The 22,931-nt window shown below is 35.1% G+C and overlaps 1 protein-coding gene across 24 annotated transcripts in view, besides 1 other annotated feature; it reads left to right on the top strand.

Moving 5' to 3' along the window:
- Positions 1-22,931, top strand: part of DCDC1 (doublecortin domain containing 1) — a 506,137-nt gene that overhangs the window by 61,038 nt on the left and 422,168 nt on the right. For 20 of the 24 annotated variants that reach the window (XR_002957144.2, XR_002957145.2, XM_024448476.2 and 17 more), the window contains 4 exons: positions 794-1,063; positions 2,314-2,470; positions 2,925-3,087; positions 17,850-18,055. Coding sequence is in view for 20 of the 24 variants with exons in the window: in XM_024448476.2 (XP_024304244.1) it covers positions 794-1,063; positions 2,314-2,470; positions 2,925-3,087; positions 17,850-18,055 (796 nt within the window). In the remaining 4 variants the exon portion in view is untranslated. Of the gene's footprint in view, positions 1-793; positions 1,064-2,313; positions 2,471-2,924; positions 3,088-17,849; positions 18,056-22,931 lie in introns of those variants that run through there. The other 4 variants (NR_170625.1, XM_024448478.2, XM_024448480.2 and 1 more) reach the window with 3 other exon arrangements.
- Positions 2,227-3,426: an enhancer, noted in NCBI's record as "CDK7 strongly-dependent group 2 enhancer chr11:31326823-31328022 (GRCh37/hg19 assembly coordinates)". NCBI's record gives its function as "activates an origin of replication core promoter dependent on BRD2, BRD4, P300/CBP, MED14 and CDK7 cofactors, with strong dependence on CDK7, by STARR-seq in HCT116 cells {active_cell/tissue: HCT116}" and the evidence as "EXISTENCE:reporter gene assay evidence [ECO:0000049][PMID:35650434]".

Raw genomic sequence — 22,931 nt, 5'->3', positions numbered from 1 at the left:
TAATATATTCTTCCAGGTCATGTGGTTCCCTGTTCACACATCATAGTTCATCCACATACTACTCTTCCAGCCTAAATACCAGTAGGGTGACCAACTGACCCAGTTTATCTGAGACTGAGGGAGTTCCTGGAATGTGTGACCCTCAGTGCCAAAACCAGGATAGTCCTGAACAGAGATGAGTTAGGCTAATCTCAGGTCTGCTGTGAAGCCTTTACCGACTTTATTCCCACCCATTCTAAAATGGCCTTCAATGAATTATTTTCATCTTTAAGGCTAATACACACTCAGTTTCAGTTTATTTAACATATATTCTCTATTGGGGGATTGTTTGCAAGTTTCTTGAGGGTAGGACCCACATATTTTTAACAGCAGAGTGCTAAGTAAGTATTAGAAAATAAAGTGGATCTAAGAATTTAAAAGTTATACTTACATTGTTTTAAACATTATGCAAGCTTCCTTTTGGTTGAATTAAGTAAAGCAATGAAGCTTAATGGTTATGAATGTGGATTTTATTTCAGGACAGGCTTGGGTTCAAATTCCCATCCTGTCAGTTATTGATTATGTGACAGTGGGCAAGTTAATTAACCTCACTGATTCTCAATTTCTTAAATCTGTAAAATGGGAATAAAAATAATAACCACTTCCCAGGAATATTGTAGGCATTAAACAAAATAATGGCTAAGTGTGTAGTATTTTGTGTAGCACATAGCACACAACTCGTTATTATATGGTATTTGTTAATAAATGATTACAAATCAATTAATTGTATTCTTCCATGCATTGTTTCTTCCAGAGAGTTTATGTCATCCCAGGCAAAAGCAGTTATTAAAACTACTGATGATTATTTGCAGTCTCAGTTTGGCCCCAACAGACTCGTGCATTCAGCAGCAGTATCAGAAGGGTCAGGACTTCAAGATTGCTCCACACATCAAACAGCATCAGATCACAGCCATGATGAAATATCAGACCTAGATAGCTACAAATCAAACAGTAAAAACAATTCTTGTTCTATATCAGCATCCAAGAGAAACAGACCTGTCAGTGCTCCAGTGGGTCAACTGAGGTAATCAAAGCTGTTCTCTGTTCTTTTTAACCTATTGTTGAAGTTCTTTCCTTTGAGCAGAGTTTATAATGTTTCAATTGACTATCTCAGACATTAAAATGTAACACATCTCTCGGGTTTTGTTTTTGTTTTTGTTTTTTTCTTTGAAAGCACCAGAGTAGAATGTTGTTAATTACACTGTGGGAAATATGAGATACACTTCAACCCGGGCAATCAGAAACTCTGAAAAGAATATTTGAAGCAGAATCAGGCTAGGATCATGAAATATCTTTGCTCACACGAACTTATTTAAAAATAAAAATGCTTTCTTTTGATATTTAACCAATAGTTTGAAACAGAATTGAATTGAATGAAATTATTATAAAACAATTTTGTAAATATGTTTTCACATCAAATTGTTATCATAAACTGTTAACATGAGAGTTCATAGACAGAAGAAAATATTAGTAAAAACAAAAATCAAACCAAGAAACTAATACCCCACTATTTTCAAATGTTTGAATATGTGGATATGTTGTGTTTTTAATTTGTGTGACATTTTTATTTTAAAATATTTACTCTTCTTCTGTGGCATTACAAATTAACTTGGTTAGTTAGAGAATTATGAAGAAAATTTGACGTTAGTCAGTTTACCACATACTTTTGCTGAGAAAAATCATAAATATCAAAATTAGTTTTGCCTGAAGACAAAACTTAGAAATCTTCACCGTTACCACTTCCGAACAGTTTGAAATGAGAGCAATACAATTAACCTTGGAATCAAAATTTTAAAATCAAATATTTTTGAATTTTAAACATTTTTTAAAAAAGTTAAAGAACTTTGATAAACCTGAAAACTTGGATAGAATCTTAGCCATTTGCTGTTTCATGATATTAAGACCATATTACTATTTTTTGCTATCAGAACATATCTCATATATATAATTTTTAGTTGCATATAATATATATATATTTTAAAAGGACTGTTGTGTTTTATAAGTAAAGTGATAAGAATCATTTATTCTGATATATATGTTTTATATGAGCAGTTTTGGCAAACACTGTGTTTTAAATTTTTTTGAATATTTAAATAGTGAGAGTGTTACTCTGTAACAACAATCTTATCCTATAAAAAGTTTTGTTAGGTATACTTATATACATAGGAACAATCTTTAGTGCTTATATCTGTTTAAAAAAATCCAGGATAATATTTATTTAAAAGCTTTCACTAATTAGCATGCATCAATTTTTCTGTTTTTCTTTTTCTTCAGGGTTGCAGAGTTCTCTTCTTTAAAATTTCAGTCAGCCCGGAATTGGCAGAAATTGTCTCAAAGACACAAACTTCAACCAAGAGTGATTAAAGTAACAGCTTACAAAAATGGATCTAGAACAGTCTTTGCCAGAGTTACTGTACCAACCATCACCTTGGTAACTAGTGTTCCAAAGTTTTCTGTGCTTTATTTTTTTTCCCTTACTCTCTTTATAATATAAAAAATGAGAAAATTATTGTTAATATTTTCTTTTTGAGAATCTGAATCTACCGATTGCTTATATATACGTAGATTTCATAGGAATTTCACTCCTCTCCTTTTTTAAAAAAATTCAATATATAAACAGTGTATTTAAACAGATGAAACTCTACAATACCTTGTAGAGTTATTAAAATGACAGATCATTTAAATGTTAAATTTAGTCAATAATTAGATATGCTTCATGCTGTGACTTACCTTTTATTTCTATATTTTCAACTGCTAGAAAATAACTGTATTGGCAAGTGACTCAATTGGGTTTCTATTTTGATCATTAGAACCTTTTGTTTTGAGGGAAATATATTACTTTCTTTGTAGTAAATCACTTTGACTTACCTCTTGCTTTCTTCTAGCTGCTGGAGGAGTGCACAGAAAAGCTGAATCTGAACATGGCCGCAAGACGAGTGTTCTTGGCAGACGGCAAGGAAGCCCTCGAACCTGAAGATATACCCCATGAAGCCGATGTTTATGTTTCAACGGGAGAGCCCTTTTTAAATCCATTCAAAAAAATTAAAGGTAAAAAAGATCTAAAAAATACCCTACCCCCACACATACTGAATTGCTTAAGGGGTGCAATTAAAAAATGATTTTCATCCTGTCTTTTTTGCATGGTTTAACAAAACTAATGTTTACGCATTTACAGCTCAGTAAGAGGATAATGTGCTTAATGAAAGAAAAATCCACTGACAGCCACGTTTATTGCCCTTCATTAGCATTGGTGCTTAATTTAATATAGATCTGAATAGACATTAGGGAGCCTGCAGGAGGTTAAATGGTGAAAATATAATAAATTAAATCAGAGATTATTGAATTTACTGTTTAGTTTCTGTGACACTCAACAGACATAATTCATTAGACTTATCCTCTCAGAAAATAGTTCAAAGTTTTAAGTATCATTTATTCATTTACACTCTTGGTCTTTTTTCAGATAGTATCAACATAATTATGAAAATGTGGCCAATAATGAACATACATTTCTTATATACATATGATTCTCCTAATAACGTATTTCATAAGAAATGTTCCAGCTTGATTATTTTTTAACCTTAAAATGTATAATATAATCCTACACATATTTTCAATTAAGGTTTTCCAAAAAGTTCATTTCTTCCAACATTTCAGAAATGTGGAGATTTTCTAAAATTTAAAAAAATAACATTTTTCTTTCCTCAGTGGAAAAGAATACATTTTAAGGGAGAAATAAAAGCACTACTATCTAAGAATATTCTTCCAAGCATGTTGTACCCAGAGTTTGGTATCTAGTGCTATGTATGATAATTGGATTTAAATAACAGGAATAAGGACTTTGCCATAAAAATTCAGTGTGTCTAACTGCTGTACTTTCCTATGCTTTTTATACTTTATTAGAAGTAATTTTTTTCTGCAACTTCTATAAAGCTAGTGAATCAAAGGCAAGTCTAGGCAGTAATTGCATAAGTAGAAGAAAAGTAATTCTGGAGTTCATTACAGATGAGGTGATAAAAATCTCCCTTCTGTTAATGTTATTGTATAAAGTTGTGCTAGGATTTCTCTTTTATATAATACTTGATCTTCAGGAAATAAGCAATTTCTTGAATTCAATAGAAAATTTAAGAAAATTTCATTCTTGTAAAGAAACTTGTTGCTATAATGGTCATTGAAAATTACCTATGTGATAGTGTAGACTCATATATTTTTCACATTTTGCTTTAAGTTTAAAATATGGCTGGCTGCCTTAATTTTATATTCATTGAATCATTTGCTTATATAAAAACATGGGTCGTAGTGGGCAAATACTTTTCTGTGACTTTAAAAAATTCAGATATATTTGTAATGATTGCTTCATTAAGATCCTTGATTATTGTTATTAATAAGAAATGCTTGCCTTTCATATGAATAATGGTATTGTAGAAGAGACATATAAAAATTATTTATAGCTAAGCTAAGAAGAAAATCTCCTGGACATGTATGCCTGAAATAATAATGTCACACACATGACTGAGCTTGGTGGATGATTTTTAAATGTACTAACTAATTTCCTCCTACTTTTTGTTTTCTCTTTTATCCTTTTCAAAAGCCAAGTCCAGAACAAAAAACTTCTCTGCTTTGTCTGCGTATCTTTGGCTGTGTTTCACTGTGACATGCACTGCTGTTCTTTTAGCACCAAAATGTTGGCACACATTCCTGAAAATTTCACACCATCTCTTGCTGGATCAGCAAGCTTAACCCACCAAAATCTGGTGTTGTGCAATGGTTTTTGACTGATAATCAATCTTTATGCTGCTCGACAGTTGTTGCTGGGACACGGAGTAGAGCAGGTGGCAGATGTGCCTTGTCTTTTGAGAAAAGAAATTGTAGGTGAGCTTGGACACAGACTAGCATATCACATGTCCATTAAAAAGAGTTAGGATAAGTATAATGGGGAAAAGCCATTCATCTAAGTTGAGCTTATAGATAAGCTTAAACAATGATATTTGGTTTCTTTCAGAATGTTAAGAATATAAATGTAAACATATATACATTTATATATGAAAGATAATATTTAACTTGATGTGAGTGATATATTACATATCACTCACATATTCACATACACTTTTTCAAACCACCAAAATCAGCTTGAAGATTACCTTTCTGTCATCTGTTTTACAGATAAATCGATAATTTTCCAACTAGCCACAAGTGTACCATTAAAATAAAAACGTGTGAATAACTTTGAAAGTGGTAGATAAACTTAAAGAGACATGATCAGAAGTTGGATAATTGAACATGCTAAAGGTAAATAGGGGAAATCAATTGGCAGAATTAAGTGTTAATGATGTATCTTTCTAAATGAGCATAAGTATTTTATATACAATTGATAACTGGTCATTGTTTTAATTTACAGACTTTTATTCATTCAACAAACATTTATTGAGAGTCTATATATGCTAGATACTAGGCCAGGTCAGAGAAAGATAAAAGCTGTGGTTCATAGTCTGATTTCTTTTTTATCATTATTCTTTCATCTCTAATTTAAATTCAATTTAATGCAATTAAATCAAAATTTAAATCAACACATTTTTATTGAGTACCTACTATGTGTGCCCCAGCATAGGGATAGAAGTCCTGGCCTTTAAGGAACTTAAACTGAGTAGATAAGTTATGAATCCTTCAAACTGAGAATACTATTTTACAACATAAATCAAATGGATCTTATTTTATTTCTGGCATTGGAAGGCCAAACAAGCCAGTATATATTTTGGCAATTATATATCTATACTTCAGTGGTTTTCCTTATTCATTGGAAAAGCAGTGTAGATGGAGAAAATTGCCTAAGAACGATTTCCAGATTTACTAAGACAGAAAAAATCCTATAGAACATCTCTGATATTTTAACTATTTTACTACGCCTTTTGAGCATAACTGTTGACAACCAGTGGCATTGGATCTAATAGAAAGCCGGAGAGCTATTCATCACATACCTTGAAACACAAAGCTTTCATACGGAGGTCAGGCCAAGGTCAAGACTGACATGAAGCATTCCTTGTTGAAATGCAGTATTAGAATAATTCTTACATTTTAAAGTTGAATATTTAATCATAAATATTAATTGTGTATGGAAAAGATCAGGAAAATAGAAATATTTTATATAAATACTGTTGATAATGTTGCCTTATTAGGTATTATACTTCTGGCATTTAAAGTTTCTGACATTTATTAATAATTCATTGAAATTATGAATAGGTAGTTAATGAATTGTTTGAAAAGGCATATTAAGTTTTCTGATTCATGGCCATGTGGTTTAGGTTTTATTCACAGTTTCCTAAATCTTCTGCTTAATTGTGACACAGTGAAAATTCTTGGATCAGATCCATGGGGTTTATAAGAGTTCAGTTCCTTTATAACTGCTAGGAGCTGTATGTAAGTAATGCAAACATAGCATAATAAATGGTTCGTGCCCTGTGATTGCCTGAATATCTTAAATAAGATGAGGAGAAAACACTATTTAGACCTAATTCGTTAGGTCCAAGTTCTGTTGTATGGAGTTCTGATTGTCTTTAAAACTTTTTGGTTGAATATTTCTACTCTCTCCTGTATATCCTATTCTATTACTGGGCTTTCAGAATTATCATTTACAGTGATTCATTTCAGTCCTGAGTTTTGTTAACCAGAAGTGAAACTTGGTATTATGAATAAGATTTTAAATCTTTTAGATCCAATATTGTGAAGACGTAGTCACAGAAAAAAATGCATGAAAGGAGTTCTTGATACTACACCTAAGATCTAAATTTAAGCCTAGAGATTTTCTAGTAACTGCCATGTGATCTACAAAATGAAATAATTTGCTATGACAGCTTGTGATTGACAAGAATATGTGTGAGCACATTTAAAATAGGCCATCTTTTCATGTAGAAGTGTCAGTGAAATGATGGATTCTCATCATTTTAATTATTGATGATTTGGAAATATTTCAATTCCACGACACACAAGACACATTCTAAATAGCAGCATAACACTTTTTCTCATATCTGCGTCCATAATGAAATGTTCTGTCATATTTTGTTTTTCAAAAAATGCATTCATTTAATGAACCTGGATTCATGCATTATATTCTCTTCCATTATATGTCTACTGAATTTGTTGATTTTTAAATTGTTATGTTAAAAGCACAAATTTCAATAGGTGACCCACTACTCACATCACATCATACCTTAATATTTCTGCTGCTAGATCTCAAGACAGAACGCTATAGTGCTGCCTACACCAATGGCTGCTTTAGTCTTGCCAAAACAGATACCAGCCTTTGTGGTGTTCACCTACAGGGCAACCACTACTTAATTCAATCAGCTAAGGTAGTTGGGACTGGCTTTCCCAAATTCCCTTTTATCTTTTGGTTTGAATAGTGTATTTATTAGGTTAGATTGTTTGTACATTTTAACTTCCACTTTTCTATATATATTCAAAAGGAGGAAGATGGCATTATGTGGTGAAAAAAAAACATTTTCTTCTCAGACAGCATATGATTCTTCTATTTCTATAAGTGAGGGTAAAACTATAGGAAAATATTTTATGTATTTTCTATTCCAAAGTTTTAAATCTGTAAATAAAAGAATAGAATATCCTTGGTATATAAAATAGGTGTGGATTTGAAGACAATTATAAGAGATGGACCAAAAAAGTGTTCTTAGTCAGTAGGAAAATCTATAGCCTGCGTGTGGCTGGCAGCATCTCTTTGTATTGTCAAATACCAAATCATTGAAAAACACCTAAATTCTTGACATAACCATAAAATGTTGAATTATATTCATACACAGAGACTACATTTGTTTACTGTACAGATGCTTGCAAACCTATACTGTCCTGTTAACTTGAATGCATTTACAAAATCGAAAATGAAACAGTTACCTTTAAATCAAATCACTTAGTTGTCTGCCTATGCTGCTTGTTACTTTACCTGAGAATTCATTTATATATTCTATAGTTATTCTTTCAGAGTGGTTTGCTTTTTGAACTTTTCACTTTTGAAGGCTTTAGATATCTTGTTAGGAGAGTTGTGAGAAATGCATTATTGTTTATTTTAAAGGACACTAGACTCGAAGTCAGCTGATGTTGCAAGATTCTAGTCCCTGTGTCTGGTCTTGGGCAAACTGGTCTGCACTTCAGTGTCCTTATCTGTAATATAGATGAAGTAATACTTTAAATGCCTATTGGATATTTCTAATAAAGATAAATCATTTGAAAATTAAGTGTCTATAAGCCCCTGGTCTAAACAGAAAACTGAGAATACCATCTTATAAACATAACTAAGACTTGAAGTTAGTCAGAACCTTGTGTCCACTTTTACCTTTCTAGAATAGCTGGCTGGGCTCAGGAAAATAACAACAACAACAAAATTTGTTTCTACTTTCTTCATCACTGCCAGGAAAGCAAACTAGAGTGTGTACCTGGGCCAGTCACTTAATCTCGCTAAGCCTAAGTTTCTTCATCCATAAATTGAGCATAATAGTTTACACCTCGGCCAGGTGTGGTGGCTCTCGCCTGTAATCCCAGCACTTTGGGAGGCCAAGGCAAGCAAATCGTGAGGTCAAGAGATCAACACTATCCTGGCCAACATGGTAAAATCCCATCTCTACTAAAAATACAAAAATTAGCTGGGCATGGTGGCGCGAGCCTGTGGTCCCAGATACTAGGAAGGCTGAGGCAGGAGAATTGCTTGAACCCGTGAGGCAGAGGTTGCAGTGAGCCGAGATCATGCCACTGCACTCCAGCTTGGCGACAGAGCGAGACTCTGTCTCAAAAAAAATAAATAAATAAAAAATAAGTTTACATCCCACAGATGTATTATGGGAAGTAAAGAAGATGATATAAAAACCTGGCATATGATAGTTACCTGAAATGTTATTTTTCTACCTGCCCTTATTTATTTTCCTTCTTTTGCTCCATCCTCTCTAGGTATGTTTCCACAAGCTTTTCATACAAGTTGTCACACGTATCTGACTTTACTAACAAAGGTATTTGCTAGGTCTGAGATCTTGAAATAAATACAACCAAATTAAAATACCTGCCAAGTAGTTATGTATACAGCATGATATGGGAATGTGAGTTAAAGGCTTTGAACTCTCAATATCTAGGGTGTAGGTCAAAATCAAGGCCTTTTATAAAAGGACCCCCAAGTGGCCTTAGTCTGCTCCGTTCCAAAAGTTGTATTTTAAAATATGTTCGTGACCCAGGGCTAGTCTTAACTTTAAGCTGCCATAACTTATTTAAAGAAAGTTCATAGAAAAGTTCAGGGAAAGGGTGACAACATTTTGATTGGCACAATAGATGGGATGTTTGTAATTTTAATCAAATGTAAATTGAAGACATACTTCAAATGATATGTCAGACTAGTGTTACTGAGTTAAAATCTAATGACAACCACTGTCATTATTAGTTAAATATAGCCATCATGCCTATAGCAATAAATGATGACACTTAAGAACATGCAGAAACAAAGAGCGCAAGTATTTAGAGAAAAGGGAGTGACTAGAAACTCAGTTGAATGCAGGAATGTGACCTGGATTTAATCTATTTACCAAACATAGAAGCAATTGTATTTTGGGTAGATGATATAATTGAATATAGCAGTATGTTTTCTTACTGTCGGAGCATTTGTATTTTATAAACTCATCTTGCATTCATGAAATGATGTGCTTATTCATATTTAATGTCATTATCTATACCTACTTGACAGTCAGAGTGTTGTGTTTTCAAATTTATTGCACAACTACCAGAGAACAAATTTTTTTAATAAGCTTGTGGATTTGAAGTTGCAAGTTTGCTGCTTTTTATTCTAGAAGTAAAAGAAGGCAGCATTCTTTTTACTTGGTACAAGCAAAATGGAAAATTATAATGTTAGGAGCATCCAGATTTATTTAATTTTGTGACAGACATTGGCTTTTTTGAAGTAGACTGAGGAAATATAATTATATTGTAGATAGACCTTTTAACAGAAAAGCAAGCTAAGAAGTGCTTTATCTTTTTCATGGTTTGGTTAAAAATAAATCATGAAAATAAAATAAGACATGGATTCTATCAAATAAAATATAATCTATGGTTGGAACATAAGTTTCTCTGAGTGCTTTGGGAGAGTATATGAACAGTCAGGCGGACATGGCAGTCCCTGAGCAGCTGAGATACGACCCTTTTGGGAACTGTTTTCCAAGGTTATGCTAAACCTTAGGTCCTCACTAGAGTCCAGTCACCACCTGCATCCTAACCCAGCAGAATCTTAACTTTCCAGAGAAAAGTACCTGAGGAGAGGAAGACTGGGACAGGTCTAGGTCTGATTGCTTTGAAAACCACCAGGTGTGGCTAGCATATTTAGAGGGGATAAGGTAATCAGGTGAGACAAGGGCCCTTTCTTTGGCAGTTGGTTGTGGAGGGCAGAGACCTTGCTGAAAGAACTATCAACAAGGTAGTGATTCAAGAACAGTCCAAAGGGAAAAAGGTAGAGATTCAAGAACATTCCAAAGGAGAAAAGGTTGAGACTCAAGAACAATCCAAAGGGGAACTCGGATGTTACTGCCGTTGAGATTTGTGAACTCGGAATATCTGAGACAGGTCTCAGTCAATTTAGGAAGCTTATTTTGCCAAAGTTAAGGATACATGTCTGTGAGACAGCCTCAGGAGGTCCTGATGACATGTGCCCAAGGTGGTCCGAGCACAGCTTGGTTTTATACATTTCAGGGAGACATGAGATATCAATCAATATATGTAAGATGAACATTGGTTTGGTCCAGAAAAGCGGTACAACTCAAAGCAAAGGTGGGGCAACTCGAAGTGGGGATGGGCCATTAAGGTCAAAGGTAGATAAGAGACAAATGGTTGCTTTCTTTTGAGTCTCTGATTAGCCTTTTAACCTGATTCTTATAAAGGTACCAGATAGCCTCAGCCCTAGGAGTTGAAAATTTTTGAATTTTTAGAGATGAGAAAGTTAATGAAAGACAGAAATGTAGGAAGCATTTGTTAATAATGGCTAGTATGGGGGCCGGGCATGGTGGCTCATGCCTGTGATCCCAGCACTTTGGGAGGCCAACGCTGGCAGATTACAAGGTCAGGAGTTTGAGACCAGCCTGGCCAATAAGGTGAAACCCCGTCTCTACTAAAAATATAAAAAATTAGCCAGGCACGGTAGTGCGCGCCTGTTGTCCCAGTTACTCGGGAGGCTGAGGCAGGAGAATCGCTTGAGGTTGCAGTGAGTCGAGATCATGCCACTGCACTCCAGGCTGGGTGACATAGCGAGACTCTATCTCAAAAAAAATTAAAAAAAAAATGGCTAGTATGTTTTCCTAGAAATTCAAAGTAGATTCAGATGGCATTAGGGTTCTTGTTTGAATTGCTTGGCTCCCTGCCCCACATACCCTACAGTCCCCTCACTATTTTGTTGCTACTCACTCCACTCACCCCCAGCCTTTGAGAATAGCCTCTTCCTCGCCAGGGCTGAAGTCTTGTCAAGTCTTTGCTGACCGTCTTCAGTTTCTCTGTGTTGGCATGGAAGAGTCAGATTCTGTTTTTCTTCTTGCCTCTGGATGTAATAATGCTTACCCTGGCTGTCAGCCCTCGAACCACATTTCTTGATATGAAAACATATGTCCTCAGAGGGGTGATGTACAGAAGAATCACTTCCTGTTGCTAAATAGGAGGGTTCCCTGGTTGATATGGTCTGGCTCTGTGTCCCCACGGAAATCTCATATTGAATTGTAATCTGAAATATAATCCCCTCATGTTGGGGGAGACGCCTTGTGGGAGGTAATTAGATCATGGGGGTGGTCCCCCCCATGCTGTTTTCATGATAGTGAGTGAGTTCTCACCAGATCTTATGGCTTTATAAGGGGCTTTTTGCCTCTTTGCTCTGCACTTCTCCTTCTTTCCACACTGTGAAGAGGATGTGTTTGCTTCTCCTTCCACCATGATTCTAAGTTTCCTGAGGCCCTCCTATTCATGCTGAACTGTAAGTCAATTAAACCTCTTTTTAAATAAATTACCCAGTCTTGGCTATGTCTTTATTAGTGGTGTGAAAATGCACTAATACAGTAAATTGGTACCAGGTAGTGGAGCGCTGCTGTAAAGATACCCAAAAATGAAGCAACTTTGGAACTAGGTAATGGGCAGAGATTGGGACAGTTTGGAGGGCTCAGAAGAAGACAGAAAGATGTGGGAAAGTTTGGAATGTCCTAGAGACTTGTTGAATGGCTTTGACCAAAATGCTGTTGTTGATGGAGCAGTAAGGGAAGATCTTAAACTGGATCCTGAGAAGGACTTGAGTCTGAATAGGTGAAGTATGGGTTTAAAAGTGAACAGGGATAATGAACAGATTTGCTTAGGTAAAACAGTGCTTCAAACTAGGGTAAGACAAGAACAGAAAGTTTGAATGGCATCAGATTGTAAACTCTTCTGTTAGACATAAGGTTAGGAAAAAGGACTTGTGTCTTTTTTCATATTCCTTGCACAGAATCTGGCACATAGGATACACTCAACAAGTATTTGTTGACTGCCTGACAGACCCCTGATGGGCTGGCTGGCTGGCTGGCTGGCTGGCTGACTGACTGACTGACTAGGAGAAAACTTCAAAAACTAGTTCCAAGAGTTTTCTCTTTAGGTAATGATAAAATTGATGTCTTAGGAAAACTCAGTTGTGATTGGTGTATAGAATGTCAGATGTGATGGAGGAGAATCATATACAATTAGAAAGTTCTTGCAGATTTTAGGAGGCAGAGACAGAAATGGACAAATGGGTCTGGTTGGAAATGGAAAAAAAATGATGCTTTGAAGAGTTACTGTGAAGAATGAATAACCGAGAGGTCTCCCTCCCTTCCTTTACCGCGTCTCAGGTCAGATTCCCTAGAAGCAGAACCTGAGATGAGGATTTTAGTGCAAGAGACTTGTTGAGGGAATACTCTCAGTTGAACCATGTAAGGGAGTGAGAGAAGGAGCCTAGAGCAAAGGAAGAAGCATGGCCAAGACATGTGTTCACTGGAAATCTACCCCCAGTCTGAAATGTGAAAGACACCAGAGAATTGCTCCCCTTTGAGGCAAGGGGACTGGCTACTATGCCCCAGAATCAGTCAATCATTGGCTGTCGGCTGTCTCCCTAGGTAAGAGGGAGGAGATCACAACCTCATAGGCATTTCCTGACTAGGTTTCTTTCAGTCAAAGGCAATTCTCAGAAGGGTGCAGCTGTGCAATGGTCACAGCCAGGACTCAAAGCAGCTGGAGTTTGGGTGCACTAGCCTGCTAAAAGGCACCTTGGGGGGGCACCAACAGTGTCTACTACACTATGCACTATAGTCGACCCTCTGTATCCACGGGTTCTGCATCTGTGGGTTCAACCAACTATGGATCAAAAATACTCAGAAAAAAAGAGCTATAAAAAATAACAATAGAATAATAAAAAATAATACAAACAAAAATACAGTATAACAACTATTTACTTAGCATTCACATTGTATTAGGCATTATAAATAATCTAGAGATGATTTAAAGTACACAGGGGGATGTGTGTAGGTTATATACAAATACTACTACATTTTATATAACGGACTTGAGCATCTACAGATTTTGGTATCCCAGGGGTCTTGAAACCAAGCCTCCATGGATACCCAGGGACAACTGTACTTTCTTCACATAGCACCCTGCTGAGAATCTTCTAACAGCTTCCCATCACATCCGGAATAAAATCCAAATCCTTTATCTTGATCTGAACAATGTGGCCCCTTTTCTGCCTCTTTGGCTTTAACCACATACACTCTTTCTGTTTTCTTTTTCTTTCTTTCTTTCTTTCTTTCTTTCTTTCTTTCTTTCTTTCTTTCTTTCTTTCTTTCTTTCTTTCTTTTTCTTTATTTTTCTTTCTTTCTCTTTCTTTCTCTTTCTATTTCTTTCTTTTCCTCCCTCCCTCCCTCCCTCCCTTCCTTCCTTCCTCCCTCTCTCTTTCTCTCTTTCTTTCTTTCTCTCTCCCCTTCCCTCCCTGTCCCTTCCCCCCCTCCCTCCCCTCCCCTTCCCTCCCTCCCCTCCCCTCCCCTCCCCTCCCCTCCCCATCCCTTTCCTTCCCTTCCTGAGTTTCACTCTTGTTGCCCAGGCTGGAGTGCAGTGGCACGATCTCGGCTCACTGCAACCTCTGCCTCCCGAGTTCAAGCAATTCTCCTGCCTCAGCCTCCCGAGTAGCTGGGATTACAGGCGCCCACCACAATGCCTGGCTAGTTTTTTGTATTTTTAGTAGAGATGGGGTTTCACCATGTTGGCCAGGCTGGTCTTGAACTCCTGACCCTGGGTGATCCAACTGCCTCGGCCACCCGAAGTGCTGGGTAATTACAGGCATGAGCCACAGCGCCCATTCTGTTTTTCTTTCTTGAACATGCCAGGCCTATCCTCATTTCGAGTCTCTGTGCTTGGTTTTCACTCTGCTTGGAATACCTTTCCCCCAGATTTTCACAACTAACTTCTCATCTCATAGGCCTCTCTGTTCAAAGAGACCTTACACTGTCAGTTTCTCTGCCAGAGCCTGTGAACTGCACAAGCAGCTCTGTCCTCCTTACAGTTGTCGCCCTGGTGCCTTGATGTGTGGACACCCAGTAAATATTGTTGAATGAATAAGCAATTAGTTGGAGAGAAATGATTAAGCAGTATGGGTTCAAGGTCTCGCCGAGAGAGTGGATAACTGTAAAAGAAGTGGAAACACTGACAGAAATAAGAACTGTGAAGGGTGAGACAGTTTGTGCAGAAAGATATGAAATTTTGCTTTAGACATTGAATTTGAGATATATGGTAGTGGCAAAAGAGTGCAGTGATTAGGAGCACAGCTTCTTGAACTAAATTCATGTCCCAGTGCCACCACATACCAGTTGTATGATCTTGGGCAAGTTAATGCCTCTGTGCCTCAGTTTTCTCAACTGTAAATAAGGATAATAATATTACCTATCTCATAAAGTTGTTGAGAGAGATAAATAAGGTAGTATCTATAAATCACATAAATGGAGTCTGGCTATAGTACTGTTTTTCATGGAATTTAAGGAGTTCTGCATGTGAAAGAGACAGTTTCAGCCAGGGCTGGGACTACAGTTGGGTGAGTGAAGTATCACTGGGACACAATTTGAGGAGGCATTCGCTCTGAGGGTTCTGTGAGGGCCCTGCACAGCTTCCTTAAATTTTGCCTCATTGGCCTTCACTCCCCTCACCCTAGTCCTGGCCTTGGAAAACCCTTTATTGGTAAGATTCTCTAAATCTTGGTGCCTGTAACATCTCCTCCCTCTGGCCTTAGTGGGAGTGGTTTCTTGCTCTTTCTAATTTCTGGGTGGCCTAACTGTCCTTCGGTTGCTTCTCAGCCTTTTCTGTCACTTACATAACCAATTCCCTGCAGTCAGTTTCCTCTGCTCAAATACTCTGAGTAGATTCTGTATTCCTGATTGGACCCTGACTGATGTAACAATTAATATACTCCAATGCTCCATAATAAGCAATAGAACTTCAGGGAGGTGAGGGAAGAAGCTAGCATTTATGGAATGACTTCGATATGTTAGGTAATTTTACATATAAGATATTTAATCCCTGTCACGTAGTGGAGTGATGCTCACTAGATAATTTTTAATGAGAAATCTGAAATTCAGGGAGGTATAGTGCATCTAGTGTCACTAAGAAACAGAGCTAGGGTTCAAACGTAGTTTGAAGGTAGAGTTAATACCCTTTCACCATGCAAAGCATCTAGGGGCATCCAGATTGTGGGTAAACTCCCATTACACTACAATAATTCATTCATATTTTTTTTTCCCCTGTGAGAGATTTTTTTTTTTCCCAGAGAAATACTGTCTGACAATGATCAGCACCTATGGACCTCCTCCTCTTCTTTTTTTCTTCTTTATTTATTGAGGTCACATAATGCAAAATTAATAATTTTAAAGTGAGCAATTTAGTAGCATTTAGTACATTCACACTGTTGTGTAACTAACATCTCTATCTAGTTCCAAAATATTTCCATCATTTCAAAATAAAACCCCTTACCCATTAAGCTTCTCTTCAATCCCCTCTCCTCCCTGCTGCTGGCAACCATCAGTATATGTTCTGTTTTTATAGATGTACCTATTCTGATATTTCATGTAAATGGAATCATACAATATGTCACCTTTTTTATGTCTGGCTTCTTTCATTTAGCATGTTTTTGAGGTTTGTCCATTTTTTAGCAAGTATCAGTACTTCATTCTTTTTTATGGCTGAATGATATTCCATCTGTGTTATACATTGTACTATCATTTGTTTATCCATTCATCTATTGATGGACATTTGGTTACCACATGTTGGCTATTGTAAATAGTGCTGCTATGAACATGTGTGTTCATGTACTTACTTGAGTATCTGTTTTCAATTCTTTTGGCTATTTATGAACTCATTAACTTATAGCTTATTTTTCTATTATAATTTCTAATTCCTATTAATTTCAGTTTACAAAATGAAAACAGAGTAACAAATTGCTGTTAAAATGTTTTTTCTCTTTTTGAAGACTTATGTCTATAGTCTTATAATCTAGTTTTAATTTAATCTGCAAGTTTTGTTTATCTATCTGCCACGGTATATGTGTTTTTATATGTGTGTATGTGTGTGGGTAACAGAGAGTGAAAGGGGGGTAAGAATAGAGGATTTTTCTTGTTGTTGTTGTTGTTGAACATTTAATATAGCCATTGTGAGACTCGAAGGTTATTACAACCACTGGCTTGTTTTTCATATCAATATTAGCAGATTTTATGTAAAGTAACATTTCTAGGTCAAAGAGGCCAAGCTTCTTTCAAGGTGAGTGCTAACAGAGAAAGATCATTTGAAAATCTGGGCAAATTTCAATGCAAAATAGCAATAAATGCAGCTATTTTCAGTTATCTATAAATAAAATTATGTTTCTCTCAGAACAAATAAGAGCAGATGAGGGAGGGATCATTGTATTTTTGTAATTTATGTAAGAAGAAAATATGATTAAAATAAATTGAATGCACAAATAAATAGCTCAGGTGCAAATTATTTATTTGTGAAACAAAACCTCTTGAAAAGAGAAGAATGCTGATGGCAACTTAGTATGCAATATACTGCACTCCTCTTCTTACCCTTACATTTTCGAAGTCATACATAGTAATTTAGTTGCACTCCTGTTTATATTAGTGGGAGTTTTAAAACTTAAATTTCTGCACACAGCTTTGAAAATGTATAGGTCAAAGTAAACTGTTAATGAAAAACTGTTTTTCATTTTCAGTGAAATAGTTTAAATCTCTCACCGAGGATGTCCTAGAAGGCACCTTCCTTCTAGTCACAGGAGAAGAATTACAGTATAATGTTACTATTTGGAGGTCAGCATCTTTAAAGCAACATAGATAAGAAATCATATTAAAGAGAAGAGAAATGTTTCCCAACCCTAAAGAACATAAAAGTTCAAGACCTATGTTGTTTTATAGTAAGCAAAGGACACTGGATATTTTCAATAGACCCTTTCAGCTGGGTGCGTTTAATCAGTAATAGAGGCAGGCTAAGGTGAATTTTAATTAGGACTAAATTGTGGTATTACTCTTTCATACCCTGAACATCTGTTCCCTTCAGAAATGATGATTTATGCAGGCTATCAGAGCAGACAGCTTGCTACAGCTTATGTCACAGTTAGTAAGAAACTGGTGGTAGCATTTCAGAAAACCAGCATCTAAATGGAGACTGGCCAGTGTATAATACACAGGTAATAGAGGGAGGGAAGTATGATGTGTCCATTTTTAATTTTGAAGCCAAATATTGACTTGACTTAAAAAATTATCTTCTAGACCATCTGTTGTTAATTAAGAAAGTAACTTGGACAATGAATGGGTTGATGCTTCCTACTGATATCAAAAGACGGAAAACCAAGCCTGTTCTTTCTATTAGAATGAAGAAACTTACTGAGAGGACCTCAGTCCGAATTCTGTTCTTTAAGAATGGCATGGGGCAGGATGGGCATGAGATTACAGTGGGAAAAGAAACAATGAAAAAGGTAATTTTTAATTAAATATTGAACTATGAATTTAATTTCAAAGTTTTGTGGCTGTTGAAATGTGTTGTTTTCTTCTTCTAAATATCGATGCCAACAAATAGAAATATTAACAAGACATTATATAGAACTAAAAAATTCTGTATAAACCTGTTTATAAGTCTGCTTATTGCACTAATACCATAAATTACCTTAGCAAAGCAACAATATTTCAGGAAATTATTTGGCTAACATAGTTAGCCATTTACCTAGTTAAAATGTTATGTTTCTACTAGAGAAAACATTCTAAACATTCTAATTAGTTACAATATTTTATAAGCTATTTAGATTGAAGCCAGTCTAAGCTAGCTTCCAGTCTCAAATCTGCCTCTTTTCATTTAGAATAGTGGTAAGACCTAAAAGCATCCTTGCTCCTCTAAAGAATTAGCAAAGCCCCAAATCACTAAAATGCAGTTTCAAAGTATTCATATAAGTTTTTAAAAACATATCTAAGGGGCCTAAGAAAAATCATGAAACAAGCAAACTTTAAAAAACAGAATTTAAAGTATTACTTGTCATACAAATGCGTGTTTCTTAGAAGGTGCTTGTACTTTCTAAAACATCTTTGATATTAAAAAATACCGAGGAGCTAATGGGAATTTGAAACACACATACATTTTTTTACAGATAAGGATTTTTCAACCAATTTAAAAGCAACCTAATAATAATATAGTAACAAATGTGTTAAGAATGTATGAGAGACAGTAAAACATAACCAAACGCCTAGGGTTGAATCTTGGCTTCACCATTCACTAGCTATGAGGCCTTGGACACCTTTGTTTCCCTGAGCCTCAGTTTCTTCATCTAAAAAAACAGAGATAACAGTAGTGCCTACTTCATAGAGTTGCTGTGAGGATTTAATGTGATACTATGCATCGAGGACAATGCCTGGCACCCAGAAAGTTCTCATTAAATGTTTTCTAGTCTCATTTTTGAGACTCATAATATGCACCTAACAGAAATTAGTTTTCTTTCTAATGGAAAATTTTTATTATGAAATCAAGATAATTTTGTTATACTATACTATTTCGAATTGAATGTTGCTTGAAACAGGTGAATAGTTGACTAGATACTAGAATTTTAATCAAAATATCTACTTCTTCATTTATTTATTTTTGTGGTGGTTTTACAACCACAACTGGTTAAGAGCATTTACCAAGGAGCTGGGAAACCTGAGTTTTATTTCCTTCTTATCTGAAGATTTTGATTATGATATTAAGGGATATTACACAGCAGAGCAAATTGCTAAGGCAAGTTATAACATCTTCCCTGGCCATTTTGAAAAATAGAGAAGATGAACGTATCTCTTGGACTGTTAAAATGCAGTCATTCTTGGAGACAGAAGCTATGTTAGATAACCTCTTGAGTTCACTTCAGTTCAATCTCGTAATTCCATGCCTTAGTGGTAAAATTGGAGTAATAGTCACTCTTACAGATTATATGTTCTTAGATGAAATGTTGAGTATAAATAAAAATGTCACTGCTATTTTGCTTTTTGTCTCTAGAAAGGAATTTATTTAAAACTGGATGATCAATGAAGTCTTTAGCTTACTTTTTTCTTTTATGATTTGTAGAAAATATTTAAAGAATTTTCACAAATTCATGATAGAACTCATGATAGAACATGATTTAGTAACAAATGTATTTGTAAATATTTGCCTCAGTATCACATTTAAGAATGAGGTAAAGGAGAAGAGGCAACAAAATGCTGATCTTGGGTGTCAATAAGAACTTTTTAGAAGGGAAAAATAAGGCTTGCTAATTATTTTGTAAATAAAATTTAAATTTTGAAAGTGTTGTTGATAATCATAGGATCATGCTCTATTTATATATTAAATACCAAATCAGTAATAGAAATAAGTAAGTGGCATAGTCTTAAGAAAAAAACAAATTATTTTCTCTTTTATGATAAAATATTAGGAATGTTAACTATTTCTCAATTACTACTAAGTAATGTAAAACTGAAGTAGAATGTAAAGGATTCTAATATGGTGAAGGTTATTGCAATGAGATAAGAAGAGATTTATTGAGAATGGGTGGTACAATAAGGTAGTTAAAGCATAAAAGTCCTCTCTGAGCACAGAATAGAGCCAAGGGGAAATGACTCTATTTTAATTATAAGTAGAACATCAAAAGGAAATCCATTTATTTACTTTAGGAAGTAATTAAGAAGTTTGAAATGAGGGCCAAAATGATATATTCCTTTACTAAACTCTGGAATACCGGAATTATAGCACATCTCTTTGCGATTTAAATCTGATGATTTTAGAATTACTTGATATGGCTTCAGTAATCACACAGCATGTGCTACTGTAAGATATAGGCTAAACATACACATCCATGGTTTGAAAAAGGTATTAAGAAAAATTTGTGGGCATAAGATGCCAAATTAATGGGAAATGAAATATAGCTGATATGGATACACAACTTTGAGATTAGCATCATGGTGGATAAGTTTTATTCTCTTCCAATTACATCTTGGATTCATTTTCAGATAATTGATGGCTGTGTGGATTATTTTATTATTCAAGATAGCATTTCTTTTATGAAAAATGTTTAATTTTTTCCCAGTAGTTAATAATTATATCTTACTTATTTGGTTTTTTGCTTGGTTTGCTACTATCACCAATAGCAGGAAATTACAGTGGTGAAGAAAATGATGAAAAAGATAATGAAATGAATGTAACAATAAAAAAAAAAAAAACGCTGTCCTCTTGCTCCCTTTTGAACTGGCTGTTTTCTATGATCTCTATCCTGGGATCTCTCTTCACTATCAACCTGGGAGTTATCGTTCTCTCTCTCCTTTGTTGGATTTCTTTTCCCTGATTCCCTAGTTTTCCTGTACCTCCTGTATTCTGCTGTGTGCATATTTCAGTGGCTTCCCAAAAAAGAGAACACAGATGGTGAATATTTTCAAATCTTGGGAAATATTTTTTCTTTCAAATATTAATAGTATTGCTCCATTGATTTTTGTTGCTAGTGTTGCTGTTGAGAAGTCTGATATCAGACTGATTCATCGTCCTTTGTAGGTGACACAAAGGATGAAAACATTTAGAACCATCTCTTTATTGACAGTGTTCAAATTTTTTTTCAAGATGTGCTGGATACTCAGGATGTCTTTTCAGTTTGAAAAGTGTCATCCTTTTCTTTTGAGATGTTTTGTTAAACTGTATATATTTCTGACAATATCCTTTTACTGTAGGTTTTCTGTTATTATTTTATGGAACTCCTACTTTTATATGTTGGATCTTACGAACTGAACTTCTAATTTTCTTATCTGGGAGATTTGCTTATCTTTGCCTCTCAACCCAATGAATATTTTGCTTCTCCTTGTACAGTCTGTGTTTTCTCTGAGTACTTGTTTTTTTTTGTTTGTTTGTTTGTTTTGTTTTGTTTTGCAGGGTGGGGGCATTGCTTTTGTTTTATTTGATTTTGATCTTTAATGTTACAGACTTACTTTAAATATGAGTTACTCCTCCATCAATATTTAAAAGTGAAGAACTAAAAAGTTGGTTGAAAAGTTGTGAGCATAGGTTTGTGTTATTGACAGATGGATTTCACCGGAGAGTGTTTTGACTAGGATTTTTCACTGGGGTTGGGTTCCTAATTATCAGTGTCTTTTCTCTGGAGTTAATCAATTTCACCACATAAAGTCTGCCAATTTGAGCAATGTACTAGCCAAGTGGAGAAGGGGGCTAAGAGTTTCACTTTCAATATGTAGATTTTCATTTAATTGTCCTCTTTTCAGTAAGAGGTTTAGTCTCTCCAGAGAGCAAATCTCATGTCTACTCTTCTGATAGCAAAAGTATAGTTGCCTGACTGGTTGATGTGGGAAGGGTTCTGGATGTTTATCTGTTTTCTATATAGTCAACCTGTTTTCAGCCCAACTTTTAGAGGTACCTGATATCTCAAATTTATGAGCCTTTTTGGGGTACTGCAATACAAGTAAAATTTACTTTTACTAGTTTAAGTTTTGACTTTTCTGGTCTGCTAAATCATTTACCACTTAATTATCTTCCCACCTTTCTGGTTCTCTTTTTTGGAAAATATGTTGTGTCAATCTTTTAATATTAATAATAATTGATTCATAATTATTGATTTTTATAGATAAAAATGAATAATTCTAATATTTTCTTCCTATCCCGATTGTTTTGCCCAATTTCTTGGGGTTTATGCAGCATAATTTGTGCTATATAATAATATAGTGTTATATATTATGACATATATATATGCTATGAATAATATAATGTTAACTTACTTCAAAGAGAACAGAATACTTTTCCTCCGTTACCTGGAGGCGTCATATACTTACTGTAGGCAAAAGGACCACAGTTTTTTTCAAAGTGTGGTCCACAGAACACTTGCATCAGAATCGTCTGGCCTTTCTGTTAAAAAATCAGACTCTAGGCCCCACTTAAAGCCTATTGAGTTAAGAATTCTTGAGTGTGGGCCCTGGGAATCTGAATTTCAACAAATGTCTCCAGATGATTCCCAGCCACTCTAAAGTTTGAGAATTCTTATTCCAGTGTTCTAAAACTTCAAACTTACTATATGATGGAAATCTTCATAGAGTTCCTTTTTGCTTGTTCTCCTGTACTTCTCATGTAGTTTAAGAGAAAAAAATAACGTGTGAGACAGAATAAAAGAGGTTGGGGGAAGTTAGATAGCTAGTTGTTAGATTAGAATGAGTGTAGGGAGTTCAGAAATCGGGAAATAGAAAACATCTACAAGTTGGCAGAAAAAGAGTGGTTATGTGTAGCAAGTCTGGCTTAGGAAAAAAATACTCCCTTTATATTTATATGTGAGCATATTTCATTGTAATTACTTTTTCCTGTTATTA

Source organism: Homo sapiens, chromosome 11 (genome assembly GCF_000001405.40).
Source record: "Homo sapiens chromosome 11, GRCh38.p14 Primary Assembly".
In the NCBI taxonomy this organism is placed as follows: domain Eukaryota; kingdom Metazoa; phylum Chordata; class Mammalia; order Primates; family Hominidae; genus Homo; species Homo sapiens.
The sequence above is the reverse complement of the archived record's forward strand: the minus strand, read 5'-3'. Positions and strand labels throughout refer to the sequence as shown.